Source organism: Homo sapiens, chromosome 11 (assembly GCF_000001405.40).
Source record: "Homo sapiens chromosome 11, GRCh38.p14 Primary Assembly".
Taxonomy (NCBI): domain Eukaryota; kingdom Metazoa; phylum Chordata; class Mammalia; order Primates; family Hominidae; genus Homo; species Homo sapiens.
In genome coordinates, this window is record NC_000011.10 from 41,214,625 (window position 1) to 41,237,772 (window position 23,148).

General features: G+C 35.7%; 1 protein-coding gene across 17 annotated transcripts in view; it reads right to left on the reverse strand.

The window, feature by feature from the left end:
• The window catches only part of LRRC4C (leucine rich repeat containing 4C), a 1,345,454-nt gene that overhangs the window by 1,100,426 nt on the left and 221,880 nt on the right, over window positions 1-23,148 (reverse strand). For 11 of the 17 annotated variants that reach the window (XM_017018079.3, XM_017018070.3, XM_047427349.1 and 8 more), the window contains one exon: window positions 8,173-8,384. The exons of the other annotated variants lie outside the window; for them this stretch is intronic. The gene's annotated coding sequence lies outside the window, so the exon portion shown is untranslated. The remainder of the gene's footprint in view (window positions 1-8,172; window positions 8,385-23,148) is intronic. 17 annotated transcript variants of the gene reach the window in all.

Sequence of the window (23,148 nt, forward strand, 5' to 3'; positions counted from 1 at the left end):
CTGTAGTCCCAGCTACTCGGCAGGCTGAGGCAGGAGAATGGCTTAAACCCAGGAGGAGGAGCTTGCAGTGAGCCGAGATCACGCCACTGCACTCCAGCCTGGGCGACAGAGCCAGACTCCATCTCAAAAATAAAATATATATATATATATACACACATATATATATGTGTGTATATATATGTGTGTGTGTATATATATATTATATATATGTATATATAAATAAATGCTTAAGTAAATTGTGGTTCACTTAGCTAAAATATACTCTGAAGTCATTAAAAATAGAAATGTTTATAAAGAATGTTTAACATGAAGAGCTTATGATGAATTGTTTAGTCATAATTTTCCCCTTCATTTCCTATGTTCATTCTCAATTTCTATTTTTTATTCATGTATATATATATATATATATATATATCACATTTTGTATAACAGGTTTACTGAGATATAATTTATATGCAAAAAAATCACACTTTCTAAGTGTAAAGTTCAGTGGTTTTTAGTAACTTTACAGAATTGTGCAATAATCACCCATATCTAATTTTAGAACATACTATCAATTGAAAAAAATTTTTTAAAAAACTGGCCAGGAGTAGTGGCTCACGTCTGTAACCCCAGCACGTTGGGAGGCCAAGGTGGGTGGATCACCTGAGGTCATAAATTCAAGACCAGCCTGGCCAACATGGTGAAACCCTGCCTCTACTAAAAATACAAAAAGTAGCTGGACGTGGTGGTGCACGCCTGTGATCCCAGCTACTCGGGAGGCTGAGGCACAAGAATTGCTTGAACCCATGAGCAGAAGGTTGCAGTGAGCTGAGATCATACCACTGCACTCCAGCCTGGGTGACAGAGTGCAATTCCATCTCAAAAAAAAAAAAAAAAAAAAAAATTCCATCCACATTGACGATGTTTCCACAATCTCCTTGGCTCCTAACCCTGAAAACCACTAATCTACTTTTTTATTTCTGTGAATTTACCTATGTTTGGCATTTCTTACAAATGGAATAATAATATGTAGCCTTTTGTCTCTGGCTTCTTTCACTGAGTATAATATTTTTACATTTGATCCATGCTATAGCCTGTATCAGTACTTTCTATTGTATAGATGTATCATATTTTGTATATCCATTCATCTCTCGATAGAAATTTGAGTTATTTCCACTTTGGGGCTATTATAAATGATGCTGCCATAAACATTTATGTATAAGTTTTTGTGTGGACCTATGTTTTCATTTTGGGGGACATATGCTTAGGAGTAGAATGCCTGGCCTATGCTAACTCTACATTTAACATTTTGAGGAACTGCTGAACTGCTTTCCAAAGTGGCTGCTTCGTTCTCAAGCCTACCTCGTATGCAGTTGAAACAAAGCACACACATACACAAACACAAAACCTTATTTAATAAAGGTTTCTTACATTACCTAATTTTGGCACACTGTAACTGTGAAGGCTACAGATATTTTACCTTCTTAAAGAAGCAAATGTCTGAGCTATGACATTGCCCTTTTATTGCAGCAAGACTTAGTCCTTGCAACTGTTGCAACTGTTCATTTTAAAACAGGCTCATTTACCCATCACCATTGTAAATTTAAACAAAATTGAAGAACAGAGAAAGATCTGAAACATTACAGGGAATTTAGGACACAGACACAATAGAGCGGTGAGTGGATAAGTGAAATGACCGCTATGCAATCAACATTAACTTTGCATTTTAATGTCAAGAAAGAAAAACGACATTGAGATAAACAACTTTGAGAACAGTAAATGTCCCAAATTAAGAGTTTAAAAATAGACTTCAGGATAAAAATGACATTTTTCTCTTTAATTACATTCTTAAGTAAAAAAAAAAAAAAAGGTAGGTAGAAACTGAAAATAGATTTCACTAACTGCTAGCTTTTCTAACAGCCCAGTGTGTGAAAATCCAGCTGTTCTTTTCTGCTTCATACATAGCAGCAACAATGGTAAAGACGATGCCTTCCTTATTTGCTGACAGTTGTGTTGATGATGCAGGAGGCAAAATAGCATTTCTCTTCTGGGCAATGTTAATTATGGAGTGCTGACAGGAGTTCAAAAATAAATCCAGATTCTTCAAGTTAATGCCCCACATCAATATAGTGTGAAAAATATAATACACTGACAAGTATGAGAAAAGTGTAGATTTTGCATGATCTCCTCTTTCTCAATAAGTAAAAAGATTCAGAGTGAATTCAAAAACTAAAAATAATAAACTATAAAAGAAAAACAATTTAGATACCTATCTATGTTTTTAATTTATATTGCTCACTTGATTCTTTAAAGCTGAAAGAATATTCAAACTTATGCTCTTTTTTTTAGATGATATGACCAAGGCTCTGAGAGATTAAAAGAAACGGGTCATGAGTGGAAGAATACAAATTTTATTCCAGATTTTTATCTCTTCATCTGATACTACAACATCCCTATTTTTCAGGCCAAATTTCTGAACACAGCCCATCAATTTTAAAATGATTTATATGGACAGTGAGTTTGGATTTCCAAAATTTTGGCCATATAATGAATGGACTATAACAACACCGCGTAGTTCTTCAGACAGTGCCCATGTTCTGTTAGAAATTACTTAATGACACTAACTTAAAATGGAACACTTGAATTTTCTTTCTAGTATTTAGCAACTATCTGGTAACTATTGTCAAATCAAAATACATAGAAGCTTCAATAAATATTAATCTCCACTATAATTTTTAAAGCAGGACTTCAATATACATATTATCTGAATACTTTAAAAATAAAGAAACCAAGAGGAATACCCCTTAAGCAACTTGCCCAAGGTCAAACAAGAAAATAAATGTTTATATTTTATACTGAAGTCTATCTGAACACAAATCCCTGCTTTTCAATAATGCTAACTTGAGAAAAAGTATTTAGGCTTTAAAAATGGTGTGGTCCTTTGAACCAGTAATTTTGTTTAGAATTGTATTCTAAAAATAGAATAAAGAACATGTACTATGACTTAGCTATAAGAATCTTAATATTGGCTATAGTGCCAAAAATTGGAATGAACTAGTGATGAAAAAGACTTGATTAAATTAATTGTGTTGGGAGATGGTGGGGGTGGATGATGGGAGGTTGCTTGTTGGCTGCAATGTGCATTGCTTCTGTGATGAATATGTTAAAGACCCTGACTTCATTACAATGCAATAAATTGATGTAGCAATATTGCACTTCTACCCTGCATTAAAAAAATTTAAAAACTAAATTGCATTATGTTCACACAATAGAATAGTATGCAACCATTAAAAATGTTGTAGAAAAATATCTATAGGAAAAATAATCCTAGCACACATAATCTTCTTAGTGAATTCCACTTAGCCTGCAAAGTTTAATTAAATGTTATTTTGGTGATATGTGTTCTCATCCAAATAAAATGAGGCCTACTCTCCTCTTTGCTTCCATAGGTCTACACATACGGCATGTGGTATTATACTTAATTATTTGGGTATGTGTTTTCCCTTACAGACTATGACTTCCTCAAGGTCACCAAAAAAAAAAAAAAACTTTAGTCACCTTTGTTACTTCACCCATATCTAACACAGTGTATAGTGCATAGTTAAGAGGAGACAGTCAATAAATATCCACTGCAAAAATAAGTGAACAATCCTTGTCAGTATGTTCAACTTACTTTACTTAAGAATCATATAGAAAGTGATCACATATCTATGGTTTACTGGGGAAAACTTTCCTGCTTTTTTACAATGAGAAGAAACAAACCCCTCCATTCTAGTTACCTTTGATTCTGCCTTGCTGCCTTAAAGACAGAAATAGGTAATAATCTCAGCACACCTGTGATGCACTCACTGCACCTGACCCTGTGATGCAACAGTCTGGCAACCGCCTGAGCTAAGGCAGGGCTTTTAATGTGAATTTTATATATTAATGTAGAATATAGCAATAGGCTTCATACAATATATCTGTGAAAATTATCTTCAAAAAATTTTGTAGATGTCTACTTTATGTGTATTTTCTAAGGATAGAGTTCTTTAGCTATATGCTCAGAAAGCCATTGGTCAAAAAAGTTTAAAGAATAATAATAGATTCTATGTTGTTTTCAACATATTACTATTACCCCAAATCATCTTAACTTTCATATGCATATGCATATGTCATTTTTTTTTTTTTTTTTTTTTTGAGACGGAGTCTTGCTGTGTCGCCCAGACTGGAGTGCAGTGTTGCGATCTCGGCTCACAGCAAGCTCCGCCTCCTGAATTCACGCCATTCTCCTGCCTCAGCCTCCAGAGTAGCTGGGACTACAGGCGCCTGCCACCACGCCCGGCTAAATTTTTGTGTGTGTTTTTAGTAGAGACGGGGTTTCACTGTGTTAGCCAGGATGGTCTCAATCTCCTGACCTCATGATCCGCCCACCTCGGCCTCCCAAAGTGCTGGGATTACAGGCTTGAGCCACCGCGCCCGGCCGCATATGTCACTTATTAAGTCAAATTTTCTTTGTTTTGTTTTCATTTTTGAGACTGGGGTGAGCTGACTTCTTATCGAAGCCCATTAAAATGTAGTTAATTATGGGTAGATTCGTTCATTATTCTTTTCTGTAGACATTATAGTACAGACACAAGTACTCCCAACAAAATTACAAAAATTCCTCTGGGGATGAGAAAAGAGAGTTGCTATGTGCAGTTCAGTGAGGATGAAGATACTTTTCACCCTTGGCATCTGCACAGTCAGTATTTTCAAATTATCTAAAGAAAGTCAGAGAGCGGGTCATTGGGAAGAAAGTCAAATGCATAAGGGCCAGGAAAACAAAAAGAGTAAGAGAGGAAGTTTACAGAAGCCCATATCGGAAGACTGCCTTCAACTAAAACTGAAGAAATCTTCACACATTCTTGAAGTCCAGTCAAGTGTTTCTGTGTGTTCCTACATAAAGGTGTAGCTGTATTTAGAGCTGCCACATTTTCTATCGCCTGAAGGAATTTCCATTTATTTGCTATGGCACTTTTTCTTTTTTCTCTAGCAGGACCATCACACACTGTGGTTTAGCCCTGTGCCTACAACAATAGATTAGAAATTTTAGTTGGGAAAATCACCCGGTGTTGACCTTATTCAGCTCCCTCTGCTCAATCACGTTTGTGTGCAGGGGATGAACCAGATGAAGTTTCAGAGATGCAATTCTGAATAAATAATTTTATTCAGAAAAAGTAGAATGTTCCCTCATCTACTGCACATGCCAGACAGAGGCTAGTACCAGTTTTAAAAATACTACAAAGGAAGCCTGAGCATTCTCAGAATCTGAAGACACATGAAGGATAATTGAAGGGATTCCAGAAAGCCCAGTTTCAGTAAGACAGAACAGGCATCATAGGGACCTATATGTGTTTTTGTATTATTTGACCTGGAATTTTTTAAAATTAAAAGGCTAGTAGGGAGCCCCTTGAAGACTCTCTAAGATCACTAAATATGAAAGTTAAAATCAGAGTTTATACTATTCCTGACTTGTATAAATTGCCTGAGGAAGGTGAGGTTTTTTATGCATTAGGAGACAGGAATAATAGTAATAATAATGTTTCTTGAGAGCTTACTTTGTACCAGGCATGCTCTACATGGCTTTACATGTACTAACTCACTGATTGTTATACCAAAGTGAAAACTATTATTATTTTCTTTCTGTCAATGAGGAAACAAGACATAAGAATAAGAAGGAAGTTTTTCAAGGACATACAACTAGTAAGGAAGGGCTCATGCTCTTAAACAATATGAAATACCCCTCTCCAAGGGAGAGTTATGAAAATAGGAATCTCTCTGGTTATCTGCTGTGCAACATTCAACTTTTTTTGGCGGGGGGGTGTTATCCAAAATAGTGGATAATCTCTAGAAAACAGCTTTTTTTTTTTCAAATAATTATCCTCCAATATTAAACACACAGACATACACACACACACACACACACACACACACAATTCTACACGTCTGAAAGTACTTCCAATCACAAGATTTTAAAGAATTTTACTTAGAATATATTGTCTATTTCACTGAGAAAAAAATGATTTGTGTGGAAACACAAGAAAAGATGATCACTTTTCCCATCTCATATTTATCTAATTTAATAAACATAACTAAAAGCAGATATGTTGATATCCCAAGAAAATTGAGATGATTTAATGGGTAATTTTTCATCAGAAGTCATATATTGGTTTATTTATTCAAATAACAAGAATTCATTTAACAACTACTTTGTTCTAGGCCAGTGTCTATGCACTGGGAATATATAGAAATGAATAAAACAGATTACGTCTCTGACTTTGTGAACTTGAGTTAAAGATGTTACTACTATTAAATTACTGATGATTTCTCTTGGTTCAAGATATTCTGTATTTATTTATTTACTTAACTTTTATTTTAAGTTCGGGGGTACAAATGTAAGTTTGTTACATAGGTAAACTTGTGTAATGGAGGTTTGTGGTACAAATTATTTTGTCACCCAGGTATTAAGCCTAGTACCCATTAGTTATTTTTTCTGATCTGCTTCCTCTTCCGACCCTCCACCTTCCGAAAGGACCCAGTGTGTGTTGTTCCCCTAATGTGCCCAAACAAATTTACAAAAAACAACCTCATAAAAAAGTGGGCAAAGGACATGAACAGACACTTTTCAAAAGAAGACATATGTGCGGCCAACCATCATATGAAAAAAAAAAAAAACCTCAATATCACTGATTATTAGAGAAATGAAAATCAAAACACGATGAGATACCATTTAACACCAGTCAGAATGGCTATTATTACAAAGTCAAAAAATAGCAGATGCTGGCAAGGTTGTAGAGAAAAAGAAAATCTTATCACTGTTTATGGGAGTGTAAATTAGTTTAGCCATTGTGGAAGACAGTGTGGCAATTCCTCAAAGACATAAAGACATAAATACCATTTGACCCAGCAATCCCATTACTAGCTATATACCCAAAGGAGTATAAATCATTCTATTATAAAGACATATGCAGGAATAAGTTCATTGTATCACTATTTACAATAGTAAAGATATGGAATCAACCTAAATGCCCATCAATGATTGACTGGATAAAGACATTCTATATTGTTAAAGTTTATAAATCTATACATTTCAAATGGGAAATATTGGAAAGAATAAATTTATACTTGCAAGATATACAAATAGAATTCCACACAAGAAACCATAGAGCTCAACTGGCATAGAGACAAATTCCTAACATCATTAGTTCTAGTTTTAGAATCTCCTATAAATACCCACACAGAGGACAGAATGCAAAGCCTGAATTTGTACTTATTTCTTCTTCTAGGGCACGCTACATCTTAAGAACTATCCACTCCAACACACATCCCAGTGAATAAGCATATCAATCTCATGGCTAACAACATATCTTTGGATGTTTCACAACCAAATAAAATCTCACCTTCTAAGGGAGCAGAGAGTAGAAGAATGGTGAATTACATGGGCTAGAAATAGGAGCTTGATATATAAGTATTTCAAATGATCAACTAGCAACAAGAGACAAAAACACACAATAGCAAAAGTAGGTACTGTAGATTACGATTCTACTTGAAATGTACATATGGTTGGTTAAATCCTCTTCTTATTGAAAATCACTTAAGACTGGGCACTCTGGCATCATACTGTGGCACTTGAATAAAGGTTCTATCACTTAACAGCTGGTGATAGGCAAGGGTTACTCTGCCTGGGCTGGAGACCCAGCAGGCTGACTTTCCATACAGACAGCTGACACTTCCTCTCCCCCAAAGAGCAGGCTCATTTGAAAACTAAAATGCAGAAGATAGAAAAACTGGCAACAACTGAGTACTCAAGTCAGACATCTGATAGGATGCCAATGAAATGGACAGGGCTGAGGGCCAAGAATCCCCAACACCATATGACAACAAACATGAGACTTGGGCCCTGGACTCCGATCTCACCAAGGGATGGGTTACTGAGCTCTCTGTTATAAATGCTGCGGTGGAAGATCAGGGATAGAAGTCACAATTCTTGTACATCACAGAACTGTAACAACAAAGTTTTGACCTTGGCCCCAATCTATCCCAGGGGAAGGTCTCATGCTTCTGTAACCAGGCAGCTTATAAGCCCCACATCTCAAGACTGGAGCCTCTCCCATGACAGACATTTGCCCACCAGATCCTTGTACAACTGGTATGGAGAAAGTGGCTCACCTGCTGCTACTCTGTCTCTGTAGTTTTTCCTCTCAAAAAAAAAAAAAAAAAAAAAAAAAAGAATGCTGGTCCAGGCTGGGGTGTGTACTTTCAGGGCATTCACTCTTGATTACTCCACATTAGACGGTCTTGAACAAATTATTAATTCTCTTTGAGCCTCAGTATCCTCTTCATCAAATACGGATAATGACAGTAAACACTTCATTTGGTTTCTGTAAGGATTAAATGAGATAATCTATGTCAAGTATTTATCAGAGCACTGGCACAGAGTGAACATTAAAAAACGCTAGCTATGATTACAATTTATTATTTAATTCAAGGGGATTTTTCAATACATATAGGGGATTTTATCATATTTCAAAAAGAAATAAAAAATAAACCTGAGGTCTTTCATTAAGAGACATAGAGAGTCATTGTTCTATAGGCTATGACTCCATCGTTGATGTGAGGTTTATTTGATGGCTGAAAGGTTCTGAGTTTCAAATCAGAGAAGAGAAATTTAGCACATAAAAGGAACTTAGACTTTTACTGAGAAGCAGACTTCTAATTGGTGCCTAGGTATCTGTTTGCACCTTCTTGAAAATAAGAACTCTGGAGGAATGGCATGAAGAAAAGACAGTCTTAGTGGCTATAGTTTTCTCTACACAATTATTTATTCATTCATTCATCCATCAATACATTATCTCCTTTATTCAACAGTTACATATTGCAAGACACTGTGCTAAGTATGATGGTGAGATAAGATATAATCAGGTCAATATGGAGAAGTACAAATTGTCTTGTCCAAAACTTACTCCCTACATGCTCACATGCTAGTCTCCCAAAGAAGGAGCTTTCTGCCTGCAGATTGCCTGGAAAAATAGCTACAAAAAAATGTCTTAAGGCAACCAATTCTAGTAAAGGCTGAGATGGCAGATTAAGCCATGTTCAAGCATGTTAAAGAGCTGGAACTCTGAGGCTTAGACATGAACCCATTGACTCTGCCAGAGAATGGGCTTGTGTTCCCCAAACTATTGGATGTCCAGTTGGCAGAACAGGACTTGGAGACAAAACTGTGCCATACACGTAGTTGATGGATATCATCTCTTAATCATGCCAGGGGAAGAGCTGTTGCTTTCCCAATTAGTTTCTTAAAGCCTTCTGGAGGCCAGTGCTTGATTTATTCCATCTCTGTGTGCTGCCCCAAAGTACAATGGAAAATTATACTCTGTTTCCTATCACAGTGAAATCCACCAATATAATGCTTTTTCATAATTCCTAGTGTGTTAGCTGCCTGGTTTTTTGTCCTGGTTTAATCAATACTTTTGTGACTTAAGAAGCTCATAATGTAAAAGAGAAGATAAAACACTTAAGTGGATTAAATTAATAAGAGAGAATTACCTGCCGTGGAAAAAGCCACGTTTAGAGGGAATCATCTGTTCTTTTTACTGACCAACCTCTACCTCCCTTGAAGGTATTTGATAGAAACCAATCCCTGCACCCCTCACTATTTCATTGCCAATAAGAGAAATGACTTATTTTACGGGACTAATGCATCTATACCATTCACTCATGAAAGGTGAGAGGTAGGCTTCACTTCTTGATGCAATTTATTAGCTCTGTAACTACAATTCTCATCCAAGAGGCCAGTTTTAGGGTGATAATATTGGCCTAATGTACAGTGTGTTTTGGCCTCATATAGAGAGTATATTTATCAATACAGTCTTACTGATAATAAAGGTGATATTTGAATTCCTAAGGAAGTCAAAACTTCCTTGTCCCCTTCTTAATAGGTTTAGAACTTAGAAAAGACATTTGATCCAATGACTCCTTTAATCACATTTGTTTAATTCAGACATGAATTTGTATCCCAGTTGGTTTTGGAAATACTGTATTCAATCTTGAAATGTCAACGTACTCATTAGCCTATGGCTATAATTCTCTCATTGGATTCTATGTGGGATTAACTGAGATGATGTGCCTGAATCATATAAGGTATTCAAAAATTCTTCTTGTATGGTGTACATGATGTGAAGAGTAGTCTAGAAAAGGAAACTTGATACAGCTCTGTTTACAATAGCCAAGATTAGGAAGCACCCTAAGTGTCCATCAACAGATGAATAGATAAAGAAAATGTGGTACTTATATGCAATGGAGTACTATTCAGCCATAAAAAGAATGAGATTCAGTAATTTGCAACAACATGGATGGAACTGGAGGATATTATGTTAACTGAAATAAGCCAAACACAGAAAGACAAACATCACACGTTCTCATTTATCTGTGGGATCTACAAATCAAAACATTTTGAACACATGAGGATAGAGAGTAGAAGGATGGTTACCAGAGGTTGGGGAGGCCGGGTAGGAGGAAGATGTACGGGGGTAGGAAGAACATGGGGATGGTTAATGGGTACAAAAAATTAGAATGAATGAATATGGCCTAGTATTTGATAGCACAACAGGGTGACTATAGTCCATAATAATTTAACTGTATATTTTAAAATAACTAAAAGAGTTACAAACTGGATTGTTTGTAACACAAAGGATAAATCCTTGAGAAGGTGGATACCCCATTTTCCATGATGTGATTATTACACATTGCATGCCTGTATCAAAACATCTCATGTACCCAATAAAAATATATACCTTCTATATGCCCACAAAAATTAGAAAAAAATATTTTAAAAAATCTTGAGAGACTAAGGGAGTTTTATTGAGTCTCCATATTAAGAATATTTGGGCCAGGCCCAATGGCTCACACCTGTAATCCCAGCACTTTGGGAGGCCAAGGTGAGAGGATTGCTTGAGCCCAGGAGTTCGAGACTAGCCTGGGCAACATAGTAAGACCCTGTCTTTATTTTATTTATATATATTTTTTTGTTTCTATCATATATAAACATTTTTTAAAGTAAGGTAAAAAAGAATATTTGATCTTTTTTCAGTTAACTTAAATATAGGAAACAAAAAATTTAACAGATGGTCCCCAACAAATTGGAAACTTTTCTGTGTCTTAAGCCTATGACATGCCAGCCGGTTTGACACCACTATTCAGAACTGAGAGCCTGGGTACTGCAGAGAACTATCACAGGAGGATATTTAATGAATTGTGGTGGAAGTCAAACCTCAGTCCATGCCACTCACCTCAACAGGACATAGCTCACCATGTGTCATTTAAAATGCAATTCTCTTTGAATGGACAAAGAGCAGTTCTATTACTAGACATGACTGCTTTTACTACTAGCAGTGGTTTAATGATTTTATGTCATTGCAATAATAGAAACATGACATTCAACTGTGACTATAGCTTGTACGAGTCTATTTTTGGAAAGCTGATTTTGCAGAGGACATGGAAATGTGGAGTCTTGGTTCCTGTTTATTTCCCAAAAGCCTTGGCCAGTAACTCTTATATGTCACTCCCCTCTATGGACCTTTCATGACTTTCTGAGATGAGTGTAGTGATTTGAAGTACCAAACAATGATCGTTCATAGAAAAAATCTCTTCTTTAGAAAAGGAGAATTGGGACTGAATCCAATTTTTCCATCAAAAGAAACATCCCTCATGGAGTATTTCAATGCCTGAGTCCTCACTCTTGACAGGAAAGAAGCAAGCAAACAGCAACAACAAAGATAACCAAAATAACACATTCTTTCTCAGTAGAGGACACTGCCATCTACCTTTTACAGATAAATCTGAAGCTAAGAGACGTAAACTCCCCCAATGTCCTGTCTTCACACATAGACACTTATCACTGTCAGTACTCAGAGTTCAACTTCTTTCTAATCTCAGAACAAGTGCTTTTTCTTTTGCTTACAGTCAACCCTTTCATCTGTGTTCTTGATTCCAACTCCTCCTGTCTTTTCTAAGACCTTGATCCATCAGTGCTCTACCTTTGTTCCTGTATTTTCACCTCTCCCCTTGCTACTGGTCCATTCAGCCTGTTCACATGCTAAAATCCTTACCATTACACACACACACACACACACACACACACACACACACCCTTCTCTCTACGTGTAGTCACTGACCTATTTCCCTCCACAATCAAACTACTTAAAATAGTCCACATCTGCAGTCTCCCATTTTAAAATCACCTGTTTTCTCTTATCCATCTATAAATACGTACATGATTTTTCCTTGTATCCTTATTTCAAACAACACAGTACAAGCATTTGTTATTTGTCCTTCCTTCCTTTCAACCCACAACCACAGTCCTCTGCTTGCATCTTTCTGGCCAGACTGCTCAAGTGAAATTCATCAATAACCTCCTAACATTTAAAGATAATGGGCAAGACTAGTAATTTAACTGTCACCAGCATGTGAAACAAAAGACACCTCCTTCCCCTTTTGAAAAATGTTTCTCTCTTTTGGTTTCATGTTGCTGCTTCCTTATTCCTTCCACTTACCATATATTGGACACATATTTTCCCGAAGTACTATGTCATCAGTATAGTTCAAATAGTTAAAATAACCCTAAAAAGGTAGGGAATATTGCAATATTATATACATTTAAGATCAAGCAGACGGAACCTAAAGAAATGGAATCTTTACCTAAGTTATAGAGTAAGTACAATATATGAGGTAAGAATCCAGTTTTGTCTGATACCAATGTATATTTTTTAACATGTTATTATGAGAATTACATATTCCAAAAGTACAGAAATATACCAAACGGTTGCAACCAACAAAACACACCTGCTCAAAGATTTAACAAATATTTACATTTTGCTTTTATTTTTACTTTTCAGAGACAGGGTCTTGCTCTGTGACCCAGGATGCAGTGGCACAATCATGGCTCACTGCAGCCTCAAACTCCTAGACTCAAGGGATCCTCCCATCTCAGCCTCCCAAGTAGCTGGGACTATAGCCACGTGTCTCTACCCTGGACTTTGCTTTATTAACCTCCGAACTTTTTTCTTTCCAGATTGATATAGTTTAAATAATTGAAGTCCACTTTGCATTCCTTCCCAATTTTTCTACCTTTCTCCTCAGAGTGAAAGCCATTATTCTTTAGTTGGTATGTATCCTTTACATTCCAAAGTTTTTCTACTATTGGATTGATACAGTCTTCTTTATTCCTGTCTTCCCTTCCTTTTTCTGTCTGAATATTTTACATTCATTTTCTTTTCTGTTTGTGGACATTTATACATTTTTAACATGTATACTTAACAGTTGATCAATAATATTTCTAATCTCTCTAACCAAATAGGGCATTTGAATGTATTCACACTGAACTTCTTCCTCCAATTTACCACATTAATTTCTCTTGCTTTTGCCCTGTAAAATACCTTGCCTGAAACTACCAAGAAATTAGTAGCATATATTATATCAGTCTGTCTGTCTATCTATCACCTATCTTTCTATCTATGTTATTTTTCACAGACAAACCTTACATGTATATGAAAGGGTTTCTTTATCATCTCACCCTTTCTTTGGGTTGGAGGTTCAATTTTCTCTTACTGATTTTCATTCTCATATAGATAGATCAATAGATCAATGATAGAGAGAGAGAGAGATAGACAGACAATCTATAGATTCTAATTCTCACTATTTTTATGAGATTTTTTCCCCATTTGGATTCATCCTTGAATTGAAGTTTAGCTAAATGTAGAATTTTAGGTAAACAATTATTTTCCATCCACTCTTTAAAGTTTCATTCTGTTGGGGCATCTGGTCTCCATCACGGCTGTGAGACATCTTCTGTCATTCTAATTTCCATTCCTTTGATTGCAATAGATATCTCATCCTTAATTGCTTTCAATATGTTTTCTGTTTGTGTGAGTTTGGAAATTTCACTGCAATAGAACTAGGTGAATATTTGTTTTTAATTAAACAATGTGTGGATGTAGTACTCATTCTGAAGATTGATATCTTTTTTTGCTTCAGGCAAATAACAAACTAGTGTATGATTCTTTTGTCTCTATCCTCCTTGTCTATAATTTCTCTTATTTTCTGTAGTATGTCATTTTATTTGTCTTAACTCTTCACAGTAAAGCTGCATGTCTGGTTAATTTAATCAGATCTATTTCCAAGTCACTAATGCTTGTTTACACTTAACTGCATCTTTACAAATGTATTTGCTCACAAAATCTTACAGCTTATAGCTCCACAGTTCAACATTGGAGTCCTTCTCCAAGTCTGATGTCTGTGGTCATTTTTTTCTTTTATCTATTTGAATGTTTAAACACAGTCATTTCAATGTGTCCTCTGGACAATTCTATTATCTCTAGTTCTGGGGGTGTAAATTCTCCTATTTGTTGCATTTTCTGACTTTTCATTATGAATTTCCATTGGGGATTTAAATATTTCACTCTTAAGTCACCTTCATGGGGGTCATTATGGAAAATTTGTGTCTCCCTAAAATTCATATGTTGAAGGCCTAACCTCTTAGATGACTGTATTTGGAGATCAGGTCACTGGTATCCTTGTAAGAAAAGGAAGAGACACCAACAATGTGCACACATAGAGACAAGGCCATGTGAGGATGTAGAAAGAAGGCAACTATCTGCAAGCCAAGAATAGGGTGCTTACAAAAACCAACATGGTTGGCATTTGGATCTTAGACTTCTAGTTCCAGAACTGTGAGAAAATAACTTTCTGTTCTTCAAGCTAACCAGTGTATGGTATTCTTTTGTGGCAGCCCAAGCCGACTAATACAGGAGCATTTCAGGAGCCCCAGTCTATAGCAACGATCACCATGTGTCATTGCATATTCACCTCTTCACTGTTGTCATCAGTTTCACTGAGTTTGTATTAGGTTTTTATTAATTTCTCAACTTGCCCTTCTCATACTACATACAAATTCGGAACTCACAAGTTTTCTTAAAGTGTCTTGTATGGCCAATTTCTCAAAAATGATTCATTTTAAATGATGGCTGGTGGTCAGAATTTTTCTAGTTCTAATATCAAAGCCATAGCAGAATGATCTCCTGTCTCAATGTTTTCTTGCAGGTAGTACAGATCCAATCAACTTCTACTTGCACTCAGCCTTGAGGGTATTAAAATGTCACACCGAGCATTTAATGATTGTTTCCCCCTGATAACTCTGATGTTTTGTGCCTTTGATTACTGATCTTACCTTGAATTTCTCCTTCACTGAAGCATCTAAAAGCTCTCGTTTCTTGTTTTTTACCATGTACAAGCATTTCTAAAATATTTCTTTCATAATTTAATTGAAGTAAATTTTTCTATATTGCCTTAATTTTAAAATACCAGATGTCCTTTTTGCTCTTTCTATTTCATTATGCCATTTTTCTTGTCCTCATCATATCTCTGACTACATATTCTGACAAGCAAAAGTTGTTTTCTCTTTCTCTACTTGACAATGAAATATTGGTATTTTCAGAGGATTGGTCTTCTCTTTCAATAGTCTTCTTGAAAAACCTAGTCTACTTCCAATGTTTCAAGTAACTCATTTTTGAACATTTTTGTTTTATACATCCATTGTGAACCTGTTTTATGGGTTATAGAACTGCATGACCACCATTAGCTTAAACTCAGAATGTGTAGAAGAGAACTCATGATTTTTCCAAATAATCCCTCAGAAATACCTTGGAATGAGGCACTGTCATCTTTCTGGATAATCAAAGCAGAAAACTAGAAACCATTGATAATGGTTTCCTTTCCTCAATCCCTACCTTCAGTGGAGAGGCAAATCCCACTTTCTCAGCCTCCTTTACCTTACCATTACGGATGCCTTAAGCATAGCTTAAGCAGCTATCCTTAAGCCCTACTCATAGAGAGATAGATTAGCCTCTTAGGATTTTTCACTTGCAAGTTTTAATTATTAGCCAAATTGACATCCATGCCACTAATCAGTTTTATTGCTTCTAGTTTTCTTTTGGCTGCCAGTGGTGTTTTCCTTCTCTTTCTAAACCCTAGAAGAAAACCTAGGCAATACCATTCAGGATATAGGCATGGGCAAGGACTTCATGTCTAAAATACCAAAAGCAATGGCAACAAAAGCCAAAATTGACAAATGGGATCTCATTAAACTAAAGAGCTTCTGCACAGCAAAAGAAACCACCATCAGAGTGAACAGGCAACCTACAGAATGGGAGAAAATTTTGCAATCTACTCATCTGACAAAGGGCTAATATCCAGAATCTACAAAGAACTCAAACAAATTTACAAAAAAAAAAAAAAAAACCAAACAACCCCATCAACAAGTGGGCAAAGGATATGAACAGACACTTCTCAAAAGAAGACATTTATGCAACCAACTGACACATGAAAAGATGCTCATCATTGCTGGCCATCAGAGAAATGCAAATCAAAACCACAATGAGATACCATCTCATGTCAGTTAGAATGGCGATCATTAAATAGTCAGGAAACAACAGGTGCTGGAGAGGATGTGGAGAAATAGGAACACTTTTACACTGTTGGTGGGACTGTAAACTAGTTCAACCACTGTGGAAGTCAGTGTGGTGATTCCTCAGGGATCTAGAACTAGAAACACCATTTGACCCAGCCATCCCATTACTGGGTATATACCCAAAGGATTATAAATCATGCTGCTATAAAGACACATACACACACGTATGTTTATTGAGGCACTATTCACAATAGCAAAGACTTGGAACCAACCCAAATGTCCATCAATGATAGACTGGATTAAGAAAATGTGGCACATATACACCATGGAATACTATGCAGCCATAAAAAATGATGACTTCATGTCCTTTGTAGGGACATGGATGAAGCTGGAAACCATCATTCTCAGCAAACTATCGCAAGGACAAAAAACCAAACACCGCATGTTCTCACTCATAGGTGGGAATTGAACAATGAGAACACTTGGACACAGAGGGGAACAATCACATGCCAGGGCCCCTTGTGGGGTGGGGGGAGGGAAGAGGGATAGCATTAGGAGATATACCTAATGTAAATGACGCGTTAATGGGTGCAGCACACCAACATGGCACGTGTATACATATGTAACAAACCTGCACATTGTGCACATGTACCCTAGAACTTAAAGTATAATATATATATGTGTGTGTGTGTATATATATGTATATATACAAATATATGTAGATATACACATATATGTATATATATACACACATATAGAAAGAGTAACTAGTCCATACTTTTGAATCCATGGGTCTTTTTAGTGGATTTTCTTTGCCTATAGGACAAAGTCCAAACTCTACCTTACAAAACTGATTCTCGGTAATTGAGCCTTTACTACTGGTCTAGACTTATTTTTCATAGGGTTCTATACCACCACTTTGAACTCCAGCTCAATGAAGCTGTTTTTAGTGTCATGTTTTCATGACTTTTTTCAAGCTATTGCCTCTCCCTGGAATGATTTCCCCTTGCCCCTTGGACTCAGCATCACCTTCCAAATCTCTCATTCTTTTCCAGGGGAAGTTGACAACATCCTCCTTAGCATCTCTACCAGAAATAGTTATTCTTGGTTCCTATTGTAATCTTAATTCCATTGATACAAAAGTGTGCCTGTCTAACACTCTGAGACTATGAGATGTTTTAAGATGGGGTTTCTCAACTTCGGTGACTTTGATATACTGGACTAGATAATTCTTTGTTGTCTGAGCTGTACTGTGTATTACTGGATATTTAGCATTCTTGACTTCTAATCACTAAATGTTAGTGGCACTTGTTTCCCATCAGACATAACAATCAAAAATGCCTTCAGGCATTATCAAACGTTCCCTGGGTAAGGGTGGGGATTCCTGGTTATCAATCACTGTTTTAAATTAGGAACCATATTTCAAAAGTTCTGTGTTCAAACTCACAGCCTACATTTCAAAATATTAGTTGGCTAAATGACTACATAATAACAATATTCTAGTTATCAATAAATAATATGTGTATGTGAATATATATATGCCCTCATCTAGCCATTAAATAATTGAAATACAAAATAATTCACTTATGAATTATACTTTTGAAATAATTCAGAGAGATAAAGTTCAAATAATATTACATACATGTGTTATCAAGACACACACACACACACACACACACACACACACACACGTCATAGTGAAAGACTAAATGCCAAGTAACACACAGTCAAATAAGAACAATTAGCAATTTTGTGAATTGGCTGCCTGTTCACATTTATTTTGCCAAGGCTAATGTTTAGTTAAGTCAACACTTCTGCCAATTATATGAGCCTTCATTGAATGAACTCATGTTTTAATTTTAGCAACTTTGCATTTAACCTTAAGGAAATATAACCTCCTGGGCAATTGTCAAAACAAGTGACTACATTGACAACGTGTCCCAGAAATAAAAGCTAAGTAAAACCATTATATTTCTTAATTGCTCTTTCTTTAGACATTTACTTGATAAATGTTTAGAGAATTTTCAGAATGTGGTAAATATTTTAAGGAAGTAAAAAATCTTCCAAGGTATTTTTACCACTACTAGGAAAGATAATTCATGTGTGCAAATAAGCTAAAGAAATTGAGTCAAAAGGTTAAGAAAGTTCAAGTGAAAATGGCATCCTAGTGATTTATAAAAACTGAGAAAAGAATCATAGAAAGACAACATGGAATGTTGGCCTTAGGGGGAAAAATTGTTAATATCAATATTACTTATAATATTACAAAAAACCTGAGAAAGTCTTGACATTCAACAGTAGCTGAATAGTTACCATTTTAAGATTTTAGTCATAAAAACTCTGCAATAATATGAAAAGCTACATAGTCTATGTTTAAATTAACATTAGAAAAAAAAATTTGCATTCAGTTTGAGTTTGAGCAGGCTTGTATAAACTGCATCACATAAAAACGCCTAGAAGAAAATACATTACGATACTAATGGTTATTTCTAGATTACATGGCTAATAGGGGAAATATGACTCTTTCTTTAGATATATCAGTAATTTAAATTTATCTTCAATAGCTGTACATTTTTATTTATGCAAATATGATAAACTAAACACAGATTTTGTTCTTTGACTCCACTCAGATATGAGAATATAGAAAAGCTTTCTTTTATTCATCATATATTTCTATGACTTTTTCAAAATTTTCAGACAGCAAAAGGGGAAAAAAATTGTGAAATTTTATTTCTAGACTTTGCTATTTTAACAATTTATTAATTAGTTCATAGACTAGTCCTTAGTTCTTAGATTAAGGGGGCAGGAGGGAAACCCCACAGACTCAAAAAGCATAACTGCACCACTTGGTGGGATCATAGCCTTCTCCAAAAGCTTTTTTTTTTTTTTAAGGAAAACACTGGGAAAGAGCAGGGAAGTCAGAAATGCAGATGTGCAGAAATGCACAAGCACACAAAATGTCCTATACTTGTCCCCAGATACCTCTACTATATTAGGTCATTAATATATCTTAGGGCTCATACCTCTTTGTCTCATACCTGACAAGCTAAAGCCTACTACCTCATACCTGAACCATACCTAATCCATTTCCAAGTCTGTTCAGTGCTAAAGAACTTTAATTTTTAGAAAAAAAGTTTATTTTTAATTGACAAATGAAATTGTGTATATTTATCATGTACAGCATGTTGTTTTGAAATATGCATACATTGTGAATTGGCTAAAATGAGCTAATTAACATATTACATTACCTCATATACTTATCATTTCTTTTTTGGTGAGAATGCTTAAAATATTAGGCTAATATATTCTCTTAGCAATGTTCAGGAATATGTTATTATTAACTATAATCATTATGTTGTACAATAGATCTCTTTAACTTATTCCTCCTAACTGAAATTTTGTATTCTTTGACCAATATCAGAACTTGCCATGCTAGATAGAATATTAAAATGAATTTCAGGTAAAATAAACGATGAAAAGTAGTTAGAACATTAATATCCATGCTTGATTTGGTGAATCTCTGGTAGAAAGGTGAGATGGATGAAAAGATTAGTTCTCAGAATCATAATCCGAATGGATGGATTCTTTTGCCATATGTGGCTTTGAAGAGAAAGCTCAAGAATATGAGACCATCTGATAATTATTTCTCCAAAAACTCAGTGAGGGAAGGACTATGGGTAGCTGCATTTTCTAAATGAGAAAATTGAAGTTCTGAGAAGAGAGTAGTTTGTCCAAGGTTAAGTGTTCATAACTTGTAAGTAGTGAAGGTGGACTATGAAATTCAGCCATCTAACACCAGAAGCATGGTTTTAATCACTATGGTATAACATCCCTTATACAAAGCTCATATGATTGCAAAGGGCCAGAGCCTGGAGACCCTGAAAATCTGTCAGGAGGACTATAATAACCTAAATAGGTGAAGGATCAGAACTCAGGAAGATATAAAATGGAAGGGTTCTATAAACATGTGGATAAAAAAAAGAGGACTCCAAGGTAAAGTCTAAGAATGGATCTGAAATACTCACTACTCCTTTTTTACTACCCCCAAGTCAGTGAATGGGGTAGGTGGGTCAATTTCATTTAAACACTCATAAAATGGATACAAATTTGCATATGCATTAAAAAGTGACAAAAGAGAAATACATTGGCAATGGGGATAACGCAGAAGACGCTAAAAAAAATGCAACCATTTGAGATTCCATTGACTTACCTACTCTCACTTCTATACTCATTTTGGTCCTTTCCATTTGCGTAGTTACTTTGATCTATATTATATTCAGGTCATTTCTAAGATAACCCACTTCACCTGCATGAAGCAGTATTCTGTGTTTGTTTTGTTTTTACCTCTGTTGTCTTGGGCACTGTGACTGAAATTGTTGTAGATGATGACTTAGTAGGCAAGCAACATTAAAAATTATACATTTGAAATTTGCCAAATTGAAATAGTCATAGTCTCTCTCCCTCTATCCCTTAAAAGTAACTTATTAAAAAGCACTCATCTATGTAACAACCAGTACGTCTGAAAATTTTATGGCAAATAGTTACACAGTTTTTTAAAACGTATGAATGTAGGCCATGTAAACAAAAGCTTAAATCCCTTTTCTTCCAGGAAATCTTCGGTATCACTGGAGTCTATAACTGATGTCATCTGTACTTGGATAATTTGCCTCATCTCTGTCTTATATGGGATTTATATGTATACATGTTCTGCCTCCCAGGGGAGTTCTTACATATTCAAGTGGCATCTTTTATACTTTCAATTCAGCCTCCTTGACAGCTGAATGAAAGGGTAATGAGGTAGATACTCCAGCTGCCCATCATATAGACATTCTCCCTTTGTGCTTTCCTAATAGAATCTAGAATTGGTGTGCCAATGGGCCCAGCTACATTTTTCAGGCTTCCCTAGAGGTAGAAGTGGCTATGGAATTAAGTTCCAACAAATGGAACAGATAGCAAGTTTTCTTGGTGAAGCTTCTGGGGAAGCACTTAAAAAAAATGAGGACTGGTTAAGTTTGCATGTGATTTTGACCACCTACCATTCTACTACCTTCTTCCTGAAACAGGCCAATTAGCGCTTCACCTTCCATCTAGTGACTGTGGATTGACCTCAGGTATAGAAGCTCTGAACTAAGAATGTCAGAGCAAAAAGAAAGTGCTTGAATCTCTATCAGACCAGCCTGAGATGAACACCTCCTGATACCTCTTCAGGAGGGGTTCAACCACTTTTTGTTTAGCTAATCCTTAAATCTCTGTTTCTCATAGCCAAACAGAATTTTAACTGATACTGGTGAGATAATCATTCCAAAATAACAGTAACAAAACCGAGTCTAAGACAATCTGTTGCACTTATATACCACTAAGCTGTGGACTTCCCAATAGCCACATGAAAAAGGATTTGTGAAAGTTTATAATGCTCTCATGAGCTAATAAAAAAGAAGTCCAAATCTATATACAGCGAAATGTATTCCAGTCATTATAATTGAAAAAAAAAAACCTATTTCATAGGTTTTTGTGTAGGGGGAACAAGTGATATCTTGATTGGTGAATTTTGGTAATTTTTTGATGATATAAATTGATCTTCCTATGCTTATTTCTTCTGGTGATATTTGAAAAAAGAAAAATGTTAAGTTTTCCAGTAGGACTGTGAAAATATTTCTGTGGAAAAGGCAAACCCACATTGTTTTCTAGTGGTATGACCTGATTTAGAAGCATAAGTTAAAGAATGTAGAAGAAAGAATAGTTTGTGTGAAAATTTTACACTCTTCAAAATGAATCATTGTAGTCTAGCTGCACACAAAAGCTAAATGTCCACAAATGCAATATTAGCATTGTTGTAAAGTGCCTGAAAGGCAGGCACAATTTTGGTAAACAAGAGGCAAAGCACATGCTTTCTATTTTGGGGATGAAGTGGAAACTATATACGTTGAGGTATAAAAACTACAGTGCTTGCTCATAAAGAGGACCACCTATGTATATGCCAGATGAACCTAAAATGTTTCTAAAAGTAGAACTAACTCTTATTAACTACAGTTTGGAGTTTACTCAAATGCTTTAACAAGAAATAGAATCAAAGAGATCAGCATTATAAAAAATAGAGAAAATGATTTTGATCTGGATTATTTTGAAAGCAGGTGTTACTGTTTTCTCACCTTGACCACCAAAGGAAAAACAAATGATTCAGCTTATGTATACCAACTTAAGTATCTGTCGTTGTCAGCTCAGAGTAGTATTCAGGAATTAATGCCCAGGTATAGGATACTAAAATAAGAAAAAAGGGAATGTTAACTGTGAAGCCAAATGATACCCTGCTAGTTAAGAAAAGGAGATTTTTTTGCAAAGAAAAGGAGTTCTCTCTCAAATACGGAAAGCGAGGGAATTCAGAATAGAAAAGCTGACAGAGACGGGGCAGCCTTAATTTACATGTCAGCTGTAATATCTGCCTTACAAGACTATTTACTTGGTAACTGGATGACATTCCTTAAAACTAGTTACCGTAGCAACTGCCACATGACACATGTGGCTCTAAGACAGAGAACACCTTCCTGCAAGAAACAAAAGCACCATCAATGTTTCAGAGGAACATTATCATTTTGAGTAATGCTGATGGTGTGAAGGAAAGGTGTTAGCCCCAATTCACGGTGACTTTTTCCCTTTAATTTCTAGATCCCGGTAGAGTGTCA